The sequence below is a fragment of the Homo sapiens genome, chromosome 7, assembly GCF_000001405.40.
Source record: "Homo sapiens chromosome 7, GRCh38.p14 Primary Assembly".
Taxonomy (NCBI): Eukaryota; Metazoa; Chordata; class Mammalia; order Primates; family Hominidae; genus Homo; species Homo sapiens.
The window spans coordinates 104,144,072-104,165,758 of NC_000007.14; the positions used below are offsets into that span (position 1 = coordinate 104,144,072).

At 34.4% G+C, this 21,687-nt stretch overlaps 1 protein-coding gene across 1 annotated transcript in view; it reads right to left on the bottom strand.

The window, feature by feature from the left end:
• Positions 1-21,687, bottom strand: part of ORC5 (origin recognition complex subunit 5) — an 81,673-nt gene that overhangs the window by 17,731 nt on the left and 42,255 nt on the right. Inside the window, exons 11-12 of the mRNA NM_002553.4 lie at positions 21,164-21,211; positions 17,001-17,111 (exon numbers count right to left, since the gene is read on the bottom strand). Of these exons, the coding sequence (NP_002544.1) occupies positions 17,001-17,111; positions 21,164-21,211 (159 nt within the window). The remainder of the gene's footprint in view (positions 1-17,000; positions 17,112-21,163; positions 21,212-21,687) is intronic.

The following is a 21,687-nucleotide window of genomic DNA, read 5'->3' on the forward strand; positions in this document are numbered from 1 at the left end:
TCGCACCACTGCACTCCAGCCTGGGTGACAGAGCAAGACTCTGTCTCAAAAATAAAAATAAAAATAAAAAAAGGAGTGAACAAATGTACCAAATATTTAAAGGTACTTTCCCAGTTTATTAAAATTTTGCTAGAGTAAAATTGAAAACAAAATCAAGCACAAAGATTAATTAGTGGAGTCAACATTTTGAATCTCAAACGTATTAGTTTATTAACTTACTAAATGAAAACTACTGGAAAAATACATATAAAACTTTAAAAATTATTTCTATATATGCATAAATAGCAGAATATCCACCTTCCTTTCTATTATCCAATCCTTAAATTGGCTAATTTTTATTTCCAACTATATATCCATGAAACTCTTGAGGACTTACTCTAGGTACTGTGCATTTAAAAATGAGGCTGGGAGCAGTGGCTCACACCTGTAATCCCAGCACATTGGGAGGCCGAGGCAGGCAGATTACCTGAGGTCAGGAGTTCGAGACAGGCCTGGCCAACAGGGCAAAAACCCGTCTTTACTAAAAATACAAAAAATTAGCCGGTCGTGATGGCATGTGCCTGTAATCCCAGCTATTCTGGAGGCTGAGGCAGGAGAATCGCTTTAACTTGGGAGGCGGAGATTGCAGTGAGCTGAGATCGTGCCACTGTACTCCACCCTGGGCAACAGAACGAGACACCGTCTCACAAATAAATAAATAATGAACAGGATCATAAAAAATACTTATTTACTTCCTTGCTCCACTTTAAATGTTCATGACAATATGAACTCAGATCTCCAGGCTAGTATTAATACCTATGTAGTCTGATATGGTCAGTGTGGATCTGACAAAAAGTCTCTAGACAATGAGTACTCAGATTCATCGTGGTGTCTCAGTTTCACATGCATGCATGTATATGCATAAATAAGGGAGAGGTGGGGCCGAGCCTTTCCCATCTAACTGCCTGAGACCTTTACTATACAGGAAAAAGACACAGAACAGGATGGGCAACCAAGGGATACAGGGGTCTTTGGGGGACAGTAAATATTGCTGAAAACCAAGATAAGACAAATAGCCTTCTTAGTTTGGAAACTTGTAGAAATCCATAATGAGAGTAGGCCTGAAATTTTAATGAATGGGAAGATACACAGAAAAGAGTTAACATAGTCTTCTATGGCTAAGTATATTAACTTCGACCCTTCTTATTCAGTGACACATCTGTGACTTAGAGAAAAGAGATACACAACAGTCATTCCTGTTGTTAGGTCCCCAAATGCAGGGGGAGATTTACACAAAGTCTGTAGTTCCAGCATGGAATAATAAATTGAAATATTTTGCAGTAAATAAATTAATGACTTAGAAGGATTTAATCTCTGTTGGAAAAAAAAGCTCTCTAAATAATAATGGTAAAACATTCTGTAATCTTTTTTTAGCACTAATTTACAGAAGGCTTCTCATTCAATTGAGCTTTGAATTACCAAGGAACACATTTCAGGAACAAACACTAACAAAGAGCCTAGACAGAGGGTTAGAAAAAAAAGATAAATACAGAAGAACTTCCCACCCAGACAGGATGCATAGATTCATATTTGTTATTCTTCCCTGCTAAGTACAACTATAAATCCTGGAAATAATATAAGAGGCGACCAAAAGAGGACTCTGAAAGGTAGAAAGAGGTAGGTGGGCTGCTTAGGGACCCTAGGGCTACAGAAACAATATAGAGGGTGCGAGTCTTAGAATTCCCCACCCAAGAGCGAAAGGTGAACCAAGCCCAGCACTTTCCAATCCACAACTGAGCGGCAAAAGGCTACCCAGGTAGGCTCATTCCTCCCCTGGATTAAAGAAGAATCCTGACGAAAGATCTGGCAATTCTATATCTAGCAAAACTATCCTTCATGAATAAAGTGGAAATAAAGACATGCTCGAACAAGGTAAAACGGAAGAATCTGTCACTAGCAGATGACCTTCAAAGAAGAGCAAAAGGAAGTTCTTCAAACAAAAGGAAATAATAAAAGTGAAAGAACGAACAGTGGAAAGAGGAGATTTGTGGATAAATACAAGAGAATATATCCTCATGAGTTTTCTAAATCACATTTGATTAAACATTTTAACACCTTCTGATACTCAAGACAGTATCTGAAAAAGTGAGAAAGTAAAAGGAATGGCAGTATGGTTTCCACACTTCACTTGAAGTGGTAAAACATATACGCCTTATAAAACTAAGCAGGCAATTACCGTATTACCCTGCAATTGCACTTATGCATTTATTCCAGAGAACTGCATGTTCACATAAAAACTAGTACATGAATGTTCCTAACAGCTTTAATTGTAGTAGCCAAAAAACGGGAAAGAACCCAGATGTCCTTCAACAGGTGAATGGTTAAACAAACTGTGGTATATGTATACCACAGAATACTCCTCAGTAATTAAAATGAATGAACTATTAATACATGCAAAAATTTGGATGAATCTGAGGAATTATCCTGACTCAAAGAAGTTAATTCCCAAGTGTTATATACTATATGATTATGCTTAAACAAATTCTTGAAATGACAAAATTCTAGAGGTAGCAATTACCAGTTAACAGGAATTGGGGAAGGGGAGGAAGAGAGGAAGGTATGGTCATCAGTGAGTATCACGGAGAATCCTTGTGATAATGGAACCGGTCTTGACTGTGGTGGTGAATTAACAAAACTATGCACAGGATAAAATTTCATATAACCAAATATATATAGACATACACAAAAGAATACAAATAGAAGTAGGGAAATCTGAATGAGATCAGTAGATTGCATTAATGTCAGTTTCCTGGTTGTGATATTTTACTATAGCTTTGCCAGATGTTATACCACTGTGGGGAACCAGTAAAGGACACACAGGAAGAGAGAATACACATTATGTTTTACAACTGTGTGTGAATCTATAATTACCTCAAAAAAGCTTAATTAAAAAATAAAACACTGATAACGTACTCAAAATATAGAGGGCTTTGAGAAATACCTTGTAAACTGTCAGAATAAATGTTATCTCAAAATGTTTTAAGTAGCTATGAAGCTAAAAAAATCTACTTGTAAAAATAAAAACACTTTTTAACCCTTATTTGTAAAGATTTTTAAATCTCTCCTACTTAAAGGCAGATGATTAGTTATGACTTGGGGCTCAGACTCAAGGAGGATTTGTAGCTACTGGTTTCATGCTGTGAGTCCATAAAGGTCCTTACAAATTTGCCACAAACCTGTGACTAGTAAAACTTATTACTTCCTCTACAGCAAAGGAAGATTATAGCAAAAGTATTGCTATATAAATCCCAACCGGAGTGTTCTATTTTTCCAAATTCTTACTTTATATATTTTTGAATGATAAAAGTTCTGTTTTTATTTGTTTGTTTTGGGGCTATAAAAGCCAACTGCACTTCAAATTTATTAAAAATAAATTTTTCAACATAAAAATAATTGCACAGTAAAATTCTGAGCTTGCCCATCAGGACTTGAAACTTTGGAGATCAATACTTCACTTAATAGATGATGAAAGAGACATCATAAAAGGACAATTGGCATTATCAGTCCCTAGTCAGTCACCCACACAAATGAACGTTTCCAAATATTTAATCCAAAAGTCCCAATGAAAAATAATACAACACATATGTCGTGCTAAAGGTTTGCTAGAAAACATTTCAGAGTTGTAACAACAAATTTTAAATTAAACACTTGTTTTAAGAATACTGAACATATTAAAAACATTTAGCCAAAATAATACTTCACATTGGGTGTTGATGATTAGAAAATGGTTTGCCAAGACTACTGCTACTGTGAATAAAGAACACCAGTATGAGCCTATGTGCTTTTATCTTTTTTTCTGCTGTCTTTCAAAATTCCTGAGAATGACACATATGTGTTTTGGCATTTACTCCTTCCCTCAGGTTCTAGCAGAGGATATGGACAAAACTTGAGGGGCAGGGGTCAGGGAAAGATAGCTATAGGAACTAATTAATACTATTAATGACCATGGTAATTAGTGGCATATGGACTGGAATTTATTACTGTGTCCAGGCTCTGTGACAGACATTGTGCATCCTCAATTCTCACAAAAACCCTCCCATGATTACTATAAATAAATCTCTCTTTTCCAGACGATGACACCACCTCAGAGAGGTGAGTAAATTGCTCAAGGTCACGAAGTTAACAGTGGTTAAGAACAGCACTGGCTTTGAATACTATCTGAATCCAAAGCCCATATTCCTTATACTACCCCAAACAAGGAGCTATAGAATACAAAGAGATAATTTTGTTGGGCGAGATTAGGAAAGCTTTATGGAAGAAGGAAATGACTACTCCACCTTGCATTCTACAGTGAAGGCAATAACTATTAGTATGCTGGAAAAGTAAGAAACCCAGGAGAGCAGGCAATGCAAGTAAAACAGAGAAAAAGCCTTAAATGAAATTGTAGCAATAAGGACAAAGAAGTATCTCAATACAGTACAGGCAAATGTCCTGCCACAGGGATATAGAATAACCTTGAGAAGTAACAATTAACAATACTGTGAACAGAATTGTTAGATGTATGAGTTTGATGTCACAAAAGTAAAACATTAATGTGGAATTGATTTAACCTAATGACAGGTTAATTTTTCATAAGTCAGATTATATATTACATTAGACATTAAATTGCTGTTTTTAAGGTTTAATTTTTAAAAGGTAAATATTGGCCAATGTTGGCTCACACCTGTAACCCCCGCACTTGGGGAGGCCGAGGCAGGCAGATCACTTGAGGTCAGGAGTTCAAGACCAGCCTGGCCAACATGGTGAAACCCCAGGTCTATTAAAGATACAAAAATTAGCTGGGTGTGGTGGCGCATGCCTGTAGCCCCAGCTATTTGGGAGGCTGAGGCAGGAGAATCGCTTGAATCTGGGAGGCAGAGGTTGCAGTGAGCAGAGACTGTGCCACTGCACTCCCACCTGGGCGACAGAGTAAGACTCCGTCTCAAAAAAAAAAAAAAAAAGTAAATTTAAGGTTGGGGGAAAGCATGATTTCTTAAATCCAGAAATTATTAGATGATATTGAAGATGGTATCCCAAAGCAGTTTCTTACACATTTGTGGATTAAAGGTCATTTACAGAAACATTCACAACTACAACTCATAAAATATTAAAATACATTAAAAGAAAGGGTAATGAAAAGGTCTTTTTCTGAAACACTAGAATCATTTCCAGGTAAAGTCATCTTAATTATGTAGGTAAATATAAAAATTGTGGGAAAATTATAACTCCCCTTCTGGGTTTCTACACCCTATGAAGATATATTCTATTGTCAGTAATGTTCAGATTTTAGGGGATTATATACTGCTTTCCACAGCTGCTTTTCTTGTCCGTTTTGTCAAGCTCAAAGTCAAATGAATAAAACTCAAATGAATAAAAAAGTAGCCTAGGGAGTAGGTTCTCTTTTTCAAAGTCAGGATTCAGATTTCATGTTAGAAAATACAGAACAAAGTTTTGTTTTTGTTTTTAAAAAACTGTATTAAAAGTCAGTGGTTTTACTACTAAATTTTTAGTCATGTTTTCCACTGATGTTTTTCCTCAAAATAAAAATTGTTATTTTTTTGTCCTCCTCAGTTTAAACAAATCCCCTAAAAATCTGAGGCATCCTGTTATCAAAGAGAATAGTACTTCCCTAGCTTTCATACATCAGCAGCATTCTGACACTGCTTAACATATTTTATTTCACCTTAGCTTAAAATAATCAATCTATCTGACTCAAAAGCCACAGTATATATTCCTTTTCCTTTGACTAGGTCCTACGTTATGACTGAGGAATTCACAAAGAAAAATAAAAAAACAAAAATCTCTTTCTGTGTACAATATTTTTAGATTTACATCCTAAATGGGGTTATACAATATTTGTTTAATCTTTGCTCTGTGTACTGTTATGTCCTTTGTTCTCATCTGTGTAGGGGATGAGCTGATTATTTATGTTGTAACAATAGGAGTTCATGTACCACAGTGAGGATTTTTTTTTCCTTAATCTGAGAGGCAGCTACTAACAAGCTTCAGCTGGAAATGCTTGATGTAAAAACAGTGTGAACCTGTTTCTCGGCTAATAAACTGTTATTTCTGCCAACAAAAGAAAATCAATTTACAACTGTAATTAATTTTTAACATGCTCATTATTTTTATACGTTCATAGGTTGTTATATGTCCATTGACTTAAGAAATATCCTATCCTGCTTGTCCTGGAGGAGCTTCACAATCTGAAACATATTAAATTATTTAAATAAATGAACTTAACAAATGAAATTTCAGTGTATGAGTTCCACACAACCCAACAAGCACCACATTTGATCTGAATTCAGGAGACTTGACGGTTCATGGCATATATTGAGAGTTCAACTGACATTTTTACACACACAAAGCAGAGGTGGTAAATGCAGCACATGGCAGAAATAGGCAAATATCATCAAAGCAGTTCAACTTTAAATCACTACCATAAATTTTCATTTCAAAAAAAAAAAAAGGAGAGTGGTTTGCTAGTCTTCAAATATGCTCAGATAAACAAAAAGTAGCATGTATGTTTATACACAGAGCAACTGAAGATAAAGCCTCTAATCTCTGGAACTTTTTAGCATGCAAACTGCCTGCAAATCTTTAGCAACCATGAAGACCATAAATGCCTGTTAGGAGAATGGGAGATCATTCAATCAATGACTCTCATGTTCATGGATGGCATTGTGCAAGAGATACAAAAATGAACAGACAACGTCTATGCCCTCAAACATCAGGGTAGTTGGAGACAAACACATAAAATGGTAATGACATAAAATGAGTGCTATGTTAGTATTATAATATGCATAAACATAATTATCTGACTATAGAGAAGAAAATGAACTAAAAGGGAGGGAGGCAAAGTGCAGATTCACTGAGAAATGACATTTGGGAGATGGACCATGATGCGTAAAAAGAGAGCTCGATAGTTGTAAGGGGAAAGTACATGCAACAATATAAAAACATTTAAAATTAGTGTGTTTTCAGAGAGGAAACAGCTTATTGTGAATGGTATATATGGTGAATGAAGGAAGTGGTAGAAATTGGGGCCAGATTATGAAGGACCTTGCAATAAATGCTATTGAATGTAGACTTGGTTCTGTAAATAATGTAACTCATCAAAAAAAAGTATAACCAGAAAAGAAAGACCAAATTTATTTTTCAAGATTTATGCTGATGACCGTATGGATGATGAACCAGCAAGTGCCTAGTGACAAGGAGACCAGATAGAAAGCTGGTGCAACTGCCTAATAAGGAAGCTACTGATTTAAGGTAATGTCAGTGAGGGTGGAAAAAAAGGAGAATGTTTAAGAGACATTTGTATTTAGGAAAAATAGACTAGACTTGACCAAGTAAATGAAGGAGAGAAAATGAGACGGTTCAGAGATAATTTCTCCATTTAGCTAAACTAAAAACTAGAAACTATATTATCTTTGTTTTTCTAGCATCTAATAACGCGTATACTACATGGCAGGTGCTTAGTAATGGATGAATTAATAAATGATTAGTTTTGAAATCTAGGTAAGGCTGAAAACCCAGGGAAAGATTTAGGGAATGATTTGGTTTGGGGCACACCAGTGTCTGACATATATGGGTCATCCAGGTACAGTTCAGGTTCAGCTGGCAATTTGGATGGAGAGCTAGAGAATAAGAACTAGAAATATGTATTTCAAAAGCCACCAACATACACAGAGCACTAGCGCCAAGGGAGTAGATAAGACAGCTCTGGGTAAATCTAGTTCCCTTTCTTGTTAACTATGGAGGAGGCATGATTACTTTTGATTCTAAGAATTCAATTAACCACCACCATTCAGAGTGACCAAAGGTGAGGGAGCATTCAGGTTCTAAAGGCTACCTGGGCCTAAGAACCCTAATTTTTCATCTAGGAGAAAAGATAAAGAGTCTTCTCTGAAGCACCAGCTACTGCTGTATGTCTATAGATGGGCAGGTGTGGCCAGTCTCCTTCAAAAATCTCCAATTCATTGTGTGCTGACAAGGAATCAAGACAATTTCTTACTGGAAACCCTCTTTAAGCACCAACATGTCTTTTAATCATCTTTTATAGATTTTGTTTTTTGGGGGGATGGAGTCTTGCTCTGTCACCCAGGCTGGAGTGCAGTGGTACAATCACAGCCCACTGTAGTCTTGACCTCCTGACTCAAGTGATCCTCCCACCTCAGCCTTCAGAGTGGCTGGGATTACAATCACGCACCACCACACGCAGCTAATTTATTTATTGTAGATACAGGGTCTCACTATGTTGCCCAGGCAGGTCTCGAACTCCTGGGTGCAAATGATCCTCCTACCCCAGTCTCTCAAAGCGCTGGGATTACAGGCATGACCCATCATGCCCAGCCAGAAGTATTTTTAAATGTACCACACATTTCCACAACGAAGATTTTTTTCTAAATCATTTATCTCCTATCTGTTCTTATTAAAACTCTTCTCATTTAAACAATCTAGTCATTAAGTTCTATCTAATGCACAAATTTGCCTATATAGTCACTATATATTAGTAGTATGGAATCTCTTAAACATGCATTTGCAAGCACATATCCATACAAACTTTTTTGTGTGTTGTCAGCTAAAAATCTGCCAAGTTAAATAAAATTTATTGGGGTTTAATATATTTCCCCCAAAAATGTGAATAAAGGATATACATTTAGTAAACTTATTGGAAGTAACACTAATCTTTGAGAAAGGTAGTTATAAAATATTGCCCACAAAAATAAAGTACCAATGTATTATTTTATACAAAAGTAGAAAGCATAATTTATGCAATTTTTTAAATCCCTTAGGCAGTTTTTTATATGTCACCCTTAGGCACTGGTTTCATTTTTCTAGAGTTCAGTAAAAATGCCCACTGCTGCAATTATACATTCACAAAGGCAAAGTGATTACACTAAGAAATTTAATGGCAGATTTAGAGAAGATAAGAAAATAGCAGGGGAAAACACTGTTCTTTTACATATGAGAACAAGAAAAACAATCTTTTATCCCTGCGCAGTAAAATAAAATATGCTGTGCTTTTTAGTATCCTTGGTAATAATTAATACTGGTATTCCTTACAACAGTAGTACAGCTAGTAAAAATCATAGGTTAACTTTACTCTTTGCAAACATGAAACATCCCAAAGCAGTTTTTTAAAAAATCTCCTGAAGTAGGTATCTACTGCAGAGTGGTCTGATGGCAGAACAGTAATATGTCCACACCAGGGGTAGTAGGAGATTTGAGAATCTCATTTACTGCACCAGTGGAGACTGAGCATCATGGCGGTGATGCTCTTAGAATCTAGAAAAGAGCCGGCCTCTATTAAATAGCATCCCTGCTGACCTCTTCATCAGCGAAGTAGGCATTAAGTAAGGCTCCTTTACCATCTTGGAATGCAATGTCTCACAATCTCAGTTGTTGTTAAGAAAAAAACATAGTAAGATTATTAGGAAATGTTAGCATTCAAGCTATTTTCTATGATTTACATAACTTACCTTAATAGCATCAAGCATTACAGTCAAATATTACAGAAACACTGGAATGCTGGCACAGGACAAATGAAATGCAGAGAAATTGCAAAGGAAGAGCTCTTCACGTTTCTAATAATTTAGTATCCATGGAATTTTAAGGAAAACTGTCCCTTTTAGTCACCAAGTTTAATGTCTATAAAGATAATGCCCACACTCAAATCAATTTATATAAATATCTTACAGCTAGATTTTAGGATGTTACTCTTTATGTCTACAAAATTCAAATTGTTACCTGATCAATAAATGGATTAGATATTTTTATCTACTAGATTTCTAGTGTTATCTGACTAGCGTTTAATGAATGTAGCTACTTTTTGTAGAAATATAAATATTATGTAATATGCAAATTAACTTTTAAGGTAAAGAAATTTTATCATAAAGTCTTCATAAAATTTATTTAAAGTGCTTTTGGTTAAAAATCTATAAAAGCAGTTTGAAATAATGTATATTAAAAAAGGACATGAGTATAATTTTCCATTATGAAGTATTTCAAATATAGCCATGTAACTTTTTAAGAAAAGCCACTCAGACTGTATATACTAGGCCATATACAATATACTGATTACTTCTCCATAACTTAAGTTCCAAGTCTTGAGATTGTCTGACACCAATGTCATAACTAAATTTAATTGGGTATTAACAAAATTTAGTTATAAATATCAATCATTGCTTCAAACACTAAGTTCAAGGCATGTCAGAAGGAAATATTCAACAAACAGGTTTGTTATGACTCAGTAGAAAACACTTAAATATCTAAGTTATAAAATATTAAGAACTACTTAAGTAAAAAACTCTTATTTATTCACTTTAAGTACTTATTAGTATTCACTTTAAGTATTTAAGTATTAGTTCCTTCAGCACATATATGTCTTCACAGTAAATACATATATACACCATTAACTCTAAACATATAAAATAGAATCTGGTGGCTGCACCAGCACAAATGAAGGGCTGTGGAATCCACAGACACATCTTCATTTCTGTATTCTCTTTATCCAAGACAATGCCTGAAACATAGTAGACACTTAGTAAATATTTGTTAAATGAAATTTTAAGCAGAGAAAGATAAATTTAATTCCAACCATGGAAAAAAAATAAACACTGACTTTGAACTTGAAATGTGAATTAGATTAAAATATTTTTATTTATAAACGTTTTAGAATTAAATAAAAATTAACAACGTCTCCTCTTTAGAAAACTGAAAACTATATAAATTTACCACATATCTACCTGTATTTGAAGAAATATGCCAAAATCTATTTTTGGTGTAATAAAACGTTAGCTACCTTAACAAGTACAGTATAGCAAAAACATCTTCCTACAGCTATGGTGAATTACAGATGAAGTATTTGCTAAAAAAAAAATTTTCATAGATGAAACAACTAAATTATCATTCTGCTTTCTGACTGATGATAAATTCATTTGAGAAAAACAATTGGTTTGGATATATCCTACATATCTTATAAAACAACACCTAAATGAGTAGTAAGGTTGTCTAAATGCTATTACAATAAATAAAACCTCCGTAAGAAACGATTGTTGATTCATGACCAATAAGTTAAATCGATGTAACAAATAACTCCAAGTGTATCCATAGTATCATGACATGAGTTCATAAGCAGAGAAGGTACAAACAGAAAAGGTATATATTTGTATATTAAACTATGCTACAAAATGTTTATGTTCTTATAAATGAAAATAAATTTGCAAAAACACTCTAAATTTTTTATTATGTACAACTAAGTATGAAACCACTCAGAAATTAGGTATTAATTATGGAAAAATCCAACTTGTCAATATGGTACACAGAACTATTTTTTAAAAAGAACTATGCTCCTTTTCTAATCTTTCAGCTGTTTCTTGGTATTAATTCAGAATACATTATTTTATAATATAGTAATATTATTAAAATAAAACCTTTTAAATGGCAGAATTATAGTAAACTACTTTCAAAAATTATTTTCCAAAATGCAAATTGATCGAAGCAGATCAATGAAAATTAAAACATATTCCTTTTACAAGTCACTTTAGAAACCTATACCAATGATTTTAGAAATAAACTCTCCAGCAATTTTATTCTCTGGGAAAAAAATAAAGCAATATGGCTTTGAGATTTTAAAATAAGTGGTATCTCTGATAATCTTAAAGAACTGTACTCCTATTGCTCTGACCTAACTACAAGAGTATTTGGGTAGGGGAGGTAAGAATGAGTAAGAGGAGACATAGAACTATAAAAAGAATGAAACAGATAATTCGGAAATTCCCATATTTTTTTCTTTTAAGAAAAAAAGAATTAAAAAGCATAACTTGGCTTTAATATATTTCTGGAAAAAAAGACAATACTATTTCTTTAAAAGCTGACAAATGGTCTTCAAAATCATAACTGATCAAATTAAAAATTTAGAAAGAATACCTATAAACTTTACCCATTTACTGCATGTATTCCATTCTATCTTATGATGAGAGCAGAAAGGAAAGGAGAAAAGAATGAAATACCAGAATTAATGCTTTGTCACCCATGAAGTTCAGGCATACATAGAAGGGCTACATTTATCTTACTGGAATGAAAATTTTAAAAATGACCCAAGATAATGACTGCAAAATTGTACTAAAGGTAAAAACCAGGTAAGACTAAAATAATAATCTAAAAAAAAATTTAAAGTCATATTTAAGTTCAATAAATCTGAACATTAACATAAAATGTTAAATGTGCTACTATTCTCTTCACTTACTTGTGAGACTAATGAATAGAATTTTATTTAAAATTCAATAGAGAATGAAGAAATTCAGAATAATGCCAACTACAATACAATATTGCTGCTAGTACTATTATAAATTTATTATTCTCAATTGGAATTTTAATAAACTTTAAAGAGTCCTTGAGTTACTATTTTTATAACTTCATTATAGAATAGATTAGATTTGAAATACAATGGAAATAAACTTTTGCTTCAGGAGAATTCTGAATGTCTATATCATACATGATCAATTTATACACAAAATAAGTTTAAACAATTATTTAGTCAGTAAATCCAGCTATAAAAATAGCATATCACTATAAAATAAATTCTTAAAACAGGTGAATACAAAAATAATACATGATCATCTCATATAGACACATTATAACTAATAAAAAGCAATTTACCTCCAGGTACGAAATATAATTCATTGCCAATTTTATTTACATTTTCATAAAAGTGTAAATACACACATACATGTTTATAATTACATTTTTCAGCAAGTTTATTTCCATTCAAATGACCCAATATGTTAACAAATTTCTCTAGATATCACAGACAGTATTAACAGGTAAAAGGTCTGTTTGCCTGGCTCATCTTAAAGCCAGAATGCAAAAACATTGCCATCTAGTGTTCGTACCAAATAAGCACTTTGAAAACAAACGTATTTCTGTTTTTCACTTAAAAAATTAAGTGTATGTAGGTTAAATACAAACTGCCATTCCCATGGTTAAGAGTATAATTTTGATAGAAGAATAAAAGGAGAAAGAAGAAAACTAGAAAAGGTCACTGGGAGTCAATGGGAAGAAGAAAATATAAGGCATGTGGGAGAAATACTCTTTGGATGAGATTCTTGCCACATTTTGTTCTGGAACACAATATATATGTTATTAGATTTTCTTGGATACTTTACTGACCAAGCAAAAGTAAAGATCAACTCCTTAGAACTAGTTGCATCTATCTCTACCTACTCCCCGACCCTTTGTATACCCAATGAGAATAACTAAGATTGTGTTCCTAAATGACTTGCTATTAAATTCACCTAAATTCATGTATAGCAATACTTTAAATATACAAATTTATCATTTTGATTATAAAATGTTAATTAGAAGAGATAAAGAATAAAAAGATCAGCAACTACAATTGTCAAGTTTGAAAAAAATTTAACTTCATTAACAGACAAAGATACATTTTGGGCCAAGTTGTTTTCTTAACTGTGTAATATTACTGGCACTGCTATAACCACGAAGACTGCGGACATTGTTCATCATAGTCAATGGCTCAGAGCAGCTAGTAAATCTCTAAATCAGAAGCCTCCCATTGTTTTTAATTGCCATATATTTTCCCCAGAGGATAAAATTGCTGAAGAGTTTATTTCTAAAAACAGAAAATGCTCTACGAATGTAAAGAACAATATGTAAGGTACCAATAGTAAGGTGTGGCATGTGGTGGCAGTAGTGTTACTATGATGCTACTATTACAATCACAACTACAATGACAACTACCACTACAATATAACCCCATTCAATTCCAACCAAACCAGGGTGACAGTTCACAGGTATGCCTTGCTTTTCAAACCTTTCTTCAGATCATATTAACCTTTCTTTCTGAATCTCTAACCTTAACTCTATCCTTTGGAAATAAGATATCAGGTGATTTTAAACTATTATTTCTCTATTTACCCATTTATACATTTCTGTATAATAAACATGTATCACTTATGTAAATGAGAAATATTTAAAAAACAAAAACTCCTACTCATTCTCCACAGCCAAGCCTCATTTTTCATCTTCTGTGAACTCTTTCAACCTGCCCAATCTAGAATTGATCTCTTTCTGCTCTAAACTTCTCAGAAGCACTATCTAGCATTCATTTACAGCCTTAAGAAAGTATTTAATAAATGGTGCTGGGAAAACTGGCTAGCCATATGTAGAAAGCTGAAACTGGATCCCTTCCTTACACCTTATACAAAAATTAATTCAACATGGATTAAAGACTTAAACGTTAGACCTAAAACCATAAAAACCCTAGAAGAAAACCTAGGCAATACCATTCAGGACATAGGCATGGGCAAGGACTTCATGTCTAAAACACCAAAAGCAATGGTAACAAAAGCCAAAATTGACAAATGGGATCTAATTAAACTAAAGAGCTTCTGCACAGCAAAACAAACTACCATCAGAGTGAACAGGCAACCTACAAAATGGGAGAAAATTTTCACAACCTACTCATCTAACAAAGGGCTAATATCCAGAATCTACAATGAACTCAAACAAATTTACAAAAAAATAAACAAACAACCCCATCAAAAAGTGGGCGAAGGATATGAACAGACACTTCTCAAAAGAAGACATTTATGCAGCCAAAACACACATGAAAAAATGCTCATCATCACTGGCCATCAGAGAAATGCAAATCAAAACCACAATGAGATACCATCTCACACCAGTTAGAATGGCGATCATTAAAAAGTCAGGAAACAACAGGTGCTGGAGAGGATGTGGAGAAATAGGAACACTTTTACACTGTTGGTGGGACTGTAAACTAGTTCAACCAATGTGGAAGTCAGTGCGGCGATTCCTCAGGATCTAGAACTAGAAATATCATTTGACCCAGCCATCGCAATCCTGGGTATATACCCAAAGGACTATAAATCACGCTGTTATAAAGACACATGCACAAGTACGTTTATTACGGCACTATTCACAATAGCAAAGACTTGGAACCAACCCAAATGTCCAACAATGATAGACTGGATTAAGAAAATGTGGCACATATACACCATGGAATACTATGCAGCCATAAAAAATGATGAGTTCATGTCCTCTGTAGGGACATGGATGAAATTTGAAATCATCATTCTCAGTAAACTATCACAAGGACAAAAAACCAAACACCGCATGTTCTCACTCATAGGTGGGAATTGAACAATGAGAACACATGGACACAGGAAGGGGAACATCACACTCTGGGGACTGTTGTGGGGTGGGGGGAGGGGGGAGGGATAGCATTAGGAGATATACCTAATGCTAAATGACGAGTTAATGGGTGCAGCACACCAGCATGGCACATGTATACATATGTAACTAACCTGCACATTGTGCACATGTACCCTAAAACTTAAAGTATAATAATAATAAAATAAAATAAAATAAATAAACTTGTAGAGAAAGCCAAAAAAAAAAAAAAGTATTTTCATGTATACATTTTAATGCCCTAGAATAAGTTATAAGCTCATTGAAAGAAAAAACATGTACTATCCTTCACTGTGCCCCTCACACAGGTAATTTGTGGGCACCTGAGAAGTACAATCACATGTGATGCAAACATGTTTCTGCTCTGTTCAAAAGCACTGTCTGTCTCACTTCCCTAGGCTTTAAATCTCAAAGGTTTACTCATTGCATCATATTGTAAAAGTTGTTTAATCTCTCTGACTTAATGTAAGGCTCCATTGCTTATAATAAAGACCTGATAATTCAAAATACCTGCTAATCTAGAGTTACCGCAACAGTAAACACAAAACAAAAAATTCCTATGTTGTATGTAGAAAGCTATTAATAAAAGGTAAAGTTTTATTAAAATCCAATTTCAGACAAAGCTTTTTTAGAAAATACATGGGAAAAATCCCTGTAACACAAATTAAAACTGAATTACTTTTTTAAAGTTATCAGCATTAGTGATCTACCTACCTATCTAGGTAGCTATCTACCTATATAGCTAACTATTTATGTAGCCTAGTAACTGAGTGAACTGAGTTTCTTCAAGAACACAATAAATGTAGATACAATTTTCTATACATGCTGACTTTTATAAAAACTATCTAAATTCAATGTTGAGAAAATTGAGATTATATTTGTTACTCAAACTCTTCTCTAAATGAAAAATTAAAAGTTACCAGCACACATTAGATTACAAAGTCTGACAGCTATTCTGGGGCCAGATTTATTCAGTGAATTAATTAAAACGCAGGCATTATTTACATATTTCTCAACCTAAAAATGCATAGAGAAAACAAAATGCTCACTGCAATATCTGACATGACTTTGCTTTTAAATAAATACTAGTTATATCATTTTGCTTTTTCTTCTATCCACTTGTACCATGTGCTAAGCATTGTTTTTCTGGACCATTTAAGAAATCTACTGTGACTATAATTTTAATAATTTGTTTTTTCTTAAAATGTCAACTAAAAAACAAACCTTAACTACTTGTTTTTTTTAAAGTCATATTTTCTATTTTTATGCTTTGCTGCCACCTAGTGAAATTCTGAGAACTTAATTATTCTGGAAAACAGCATTTTTTAATAAAAGCACATCTATCTGCAAAGTACATAGATGAGGAATAAGAACATTGTAGATTACTCTGTTACAAAAAAAAATTTTTCAATTTTGTTTTCATTAAATTACAATTCATCAACTTGGTCATCAAGCCACTTGTTTAATTAGCAAGATAATTATGATTATTTAATTTTAAAAATTCCTTTATTGAAAAAGAGCCAAATTAAATTATTTGCCATGAGGTTATACTTGTAAACATATGTAAATTTAGTGATACCCCCAAAGATTCTATATACGTAATTTTCAATTACTTACCAAAAACATGGTTCATTATATAGTTAAAACAGTAACATATGTTGAACAAAAATCTGAATGCCTGGAATTCTATTGACTCTACTATCTGAAGAATCCCACAAAGATGACAGATAATAATCTATGATTAAGCTTACCTGGGAAAAAATATTTGCTGTTGGAGCAACTCTGCTGTCCACGATACTATATAATATTGCTAATAATCTGTCTAGTGGAAATGGTTTTGGCCCAAGGAGATGATTGCTTGTCTGTAAAAAACAAAACAAAAACATGGATTTTCTTCTTATACCAGAGCACTCACTTTCTGTACTACAAAACTGCCAGTAACAATGTATTTTTGTTATATATAGTTCCCCTAAAAATGCTAACAAATCTAACCTGCAAACTCTAAGTTAAAAGTTTAACTGATATGATCATGATTTATCCTTTTTTTAAGTTTGTTTTGTTTAGAGACAAGGTCCGCTGTCACCCAGGCTGGAATGCAGTGGCAGCGCAATCATGGCTCACTACAGCCTTGAATTCCTGGGCTCAAGCCATCCTCCTATGTCAGATTCTCCTCTTGAGTAGCTAGGACTCTAGGCACACACCGCAATGTTTGGGTATTTTTACAAATTATTTTGTAAAGACAGGGTCTCACTATGTTGCCCAGACTGGTCTTAAACTCCTGGCCTCAAGCAATCCTCCCCACCTTGGCCTCCCAAAGTGTTAGAATTACAGGCATGAGCCACCATACCCAGCCATGAGCCACCATACCCAGCCATGATTTATCTTTTAACATATTCCTCAAGATTTCTGACTTAGTATCAACAAATATTAATTAAAGAACTCACAGTCATCCGGTCTAGTCCTAAATATGCCTCCTATTTTACTGTTATAACCAGGTGTTAAGTAATTTTGCCAAATCCAAGATAATAACCAAACCAGATTCCTAAGTTGTAGACTAGAGCTTACTACTTATTTCTCACAATTCCTCTTTGTACCACTGCCAGGAAAATTCAACACCAGTAGCTCTAAAAAGATCAATTACAGTAAGTCGTAGCTTAACTTAGAAAACTAATAAAATATTTTATAAAGTAAATAAGCCAGCAGCCTAAAACAATGTAAAATTTAAAAAAATTTTTTCAATATTGTAAAATGTTCACACTTGTATACAAACTCATATAGTATAATTCATGTCATCAGAAACGAGACAATGCTCAAGTTCCATTCTATTAGCAGATAATTTTAATAGCCAATAAATATTTATTTCTTTTTTTGAGACAGAGCCTCACTCTGTCACCCAGGCTGGAGTACAGTGACACGATCTTGGCTCACTGCAAACTCCACCTCCCAGGTTCAAGTGATTCTCGTATCTCAGCCACCCAAGTAGCTGGGATTACAGGCATGCACTGCCACACATGGCTAACTTTTGTATTTTTAGTTTTGCCGTGTAGGACAGGCTAGTCTCGAACTTCTGACCTGAAGTAATCTGCCCACCTTGGCCTCCCAAAGTGCTAGAATTACAGGCGTGAGCCAGTGCACCCAGCTACAAATAAGTACTTTATATTAGCAATGGCAAATAAAATTGGAAACTGTATTTACATGCATGGGAGTAACTATTTATTTAAAACAAGAATGAATGTAAAGAAGAATACCTACTCAGAATTATACAATGAAGTTTTTACCTCGGCTAGAAATTATTTTCCAGGTCTTAAATTTTGTATGCTTTTGTCACTAAATACTTCAAATATATAAAAGAGTACAGAAGTGAATATAATGAATACCAATGGACTCACCACTCAATTTTATCAAATATACTGTGCAATAAGTGCAGAGAAACAAAACATTAGATCACATTACAGATAAGTTGAAGCTTCCTTGAACCCTCTCCCATCCTATTCTCCCTTTCCTTCTCTAGAAAAATTCCACTATCTAGAATTTGATGTACTCTCATGAAGGTTTTATACTACCGCATATGTATCCACAAACAATACACAGCATTGTTTGCATGGTTTAAAATTTTATATAAATGATATCATTTGGAACATACCTCTCTACCAATTGCTTTTTGAGATTTATCCATATAGATACATGTAGCTCTAGTCCATTTTTAAATTACCTTACAGAATTCCATTTTATGACTACTTAAAAAAATTCATTATTACAAATAATCCTGTGACTGATAATCTTGTACATTTCTCCTTGTGCACATGTGTGAGTTTCTCTAAGTAGGATTGCTGGATTAAAGCACAAGGCAGAGTCAGTGCTATGTGTCTGCCAACACTGTTTCTTCTCTGACACACAAGAAGACTACATTTCTCAGTCTCTCCTGCAGTTAGATAGAGGTCACGTAACTGGGTTCTGCCAGGCCAATGAAATATGAATAGAAGTGATGTAAACTACTTGCAAGCCTAGTCTTTCACCTTCTTTCCCTTTAGTGGCAACTTCAGAGGCCACAATGTTTCACTTCATATCACTATGAGATGAAAGAGGGTCACTCAATTCACAGTTATGTTGTAAGCAACATAAAAACTTCTGTTGTGTAAAGCCACCATGGTTTGGGGGGTTTTGTTTTGTTTGTTTGTCTGTTTGAGAAGGAGACTCACTCTGTTGCCCAGGCTGGAGTGTAGTAGCGTGATCTCGGCTCACTGCAAGCTACGCCTCCCAGGTTCACGCCATTCTCCCGCCTCAGCCTCCCAGGCAGCTGGGACTACAGGCGCCCACCATCATGCCCGGCTAATTTTTGTTTTTGTATTTTTAGTAGAGCCGGGGTTTCACCATGTTAGCCAGAATGGTCTCGACCTCCTGACCTCGTGATCCACCCGCCTCGGCCTCCCAAAGTGCTGGGACTACAGGTGTGAGGCACCCCGCCCAGCCGGGATTTGCTTTTTACTACAAGCATAGCTAGTCTATCCTAATATTAACATATTAACTTCACATATTAACTTCAGTAGATATTGTCAACCTGCAGAACAGGCAGACTCTCGCTCTTCTACATTATCTCCAGCACTTGAAATCATAGAATTTTTTAGTTTTGTCAAACCAAGAGTATGAAATATCTCACTGTTGTTTTAACTTTTTCTCTCATTAGTGAATAAGGCTGTTAATCATGTCATGATTGTTAGACATTCAGGTTCCTTATTGTATCATTTATCCATTTTGCTATCGAATTTTTGTCCTTTTCTTATTGGTTTGTAATGAGTCTTTAAAAATTCGAGACATTAGGTTGGGCATGGTAGCTCATGCCTGTAATCCCAGCACTTTGGAAGGCTGAGAGGAGTGGATCATTTGAGACCAGCCTCGAACTCCTGGGCTTAGATGAGTCCCTGGTGAAACCCTGTCTCTACAAAAAATACAAAAATTAGCCAGGCACAGTGGCGTGTGCCTGTAGTCCCAGCTACTAGGGAGGCTGAGACAGGAGGATCACTTAAGCCCAGGAGGTTGAGGCTGCAGTGAGCCATGATCACGCCATTGCACTGCAGCATGGGTGACTGAGACCCTACCTCAAAAACAGATAAATAATAAAAATTCTAAACGTTAACCATTTGTCTATTGTAGGAGTTCAAGAACAGTGGTAAACATCATCGTAGGCTTTGGAGTCAGGAAGTCCTGGAATTGAGCAAAACTGCCTCTAAGAATAAGGGAAACAAAACTTGCAGTTTCTATAGTGCAGAGTTTATATTTCAAAATTCTCCATCTTCTGACAAGAAAAGCAACAGTGGTTTGGACATACAAAGTGGAAGAAGTGATCTAAATAGTCTAAATGCTTCTTTCACCAGTTTCAACCTTATCTGACCCCACCTTCAAAAGTACTTAGTGCTTCTAATCCCTAAGCTTTTTTCCAGATTCCTAAGGCCAAATTAGCTAAGTTTGAGGCTTAGGTTTTAGCGTTTTCTCTAATCTGCTTGGTCACCTCAATATCTACCTACCATGCAATTGCAAATTCTGGGGGTCTCTCATCTGCTTAGTATTTATGAGTTTACCTTTTTTATTTGTTGTGGGTGCTTCAAAGGGGAAAGAAAAGAGGAAAATGCCTGTATTCAATTGGCTGTATTTAACTAAATAATCCAGGGTAAACTTCTTCATCTACTAAGTCACTAAAAAACTTTGTCAACTCAGTTTTAAACTCCAGCAGCAGCTCACCTAAATGTGCATTCAATCACTATATTCAATATAACAAAATTCTATTACAGTATAACGGTACCATATCAACACAAATAAGTTCCTATATTCAAATGACAAATACAATTACAGATGTATCTATTTCCTATATTATCTTCATTTCCTAAGTTTCTTCCATTAGAAATTAAAATGTAAATACCTTTTCGTGTTTTTTTAGAAAGTTGGTTTTCTTGATTTTTCCATGATGCTGCAATTAAGGAAAACAAATTTTAAGTTGAAAAGACAGTATTCCACAAAACCAGAAAACGTTATTTATTTAAAACATGGCACACATAATACTAATCTGTATATCTCAGGTTTTTAAATAGTTATTCTTCTTATCACCTTGTATATATATTAGACTTCAACATATTTTAGGCCAATTTCGTTTAGACTTGGATTGGATATAAAATTACTTTTGCATGTAAAAAAAGAATTTCTAAAATAAAATAATGACATTTCCTAAAAGAGCTTATTATATTGATTTAGTTCAGCATATACATTGCTATAAAAATGAAACTTCCAGAGATATGGATTTTTATTCATCCCATAAGTCTGGCAATCCACATAATAAACGCTGACGGAGGGCATTTTAGTTAAGCACAGTTCACATAATAAACACTGATTGAGAGCATTTTAGTTAGGCACTCAGGATTCAATAGCAGGGGAAAACAATAGATGTGG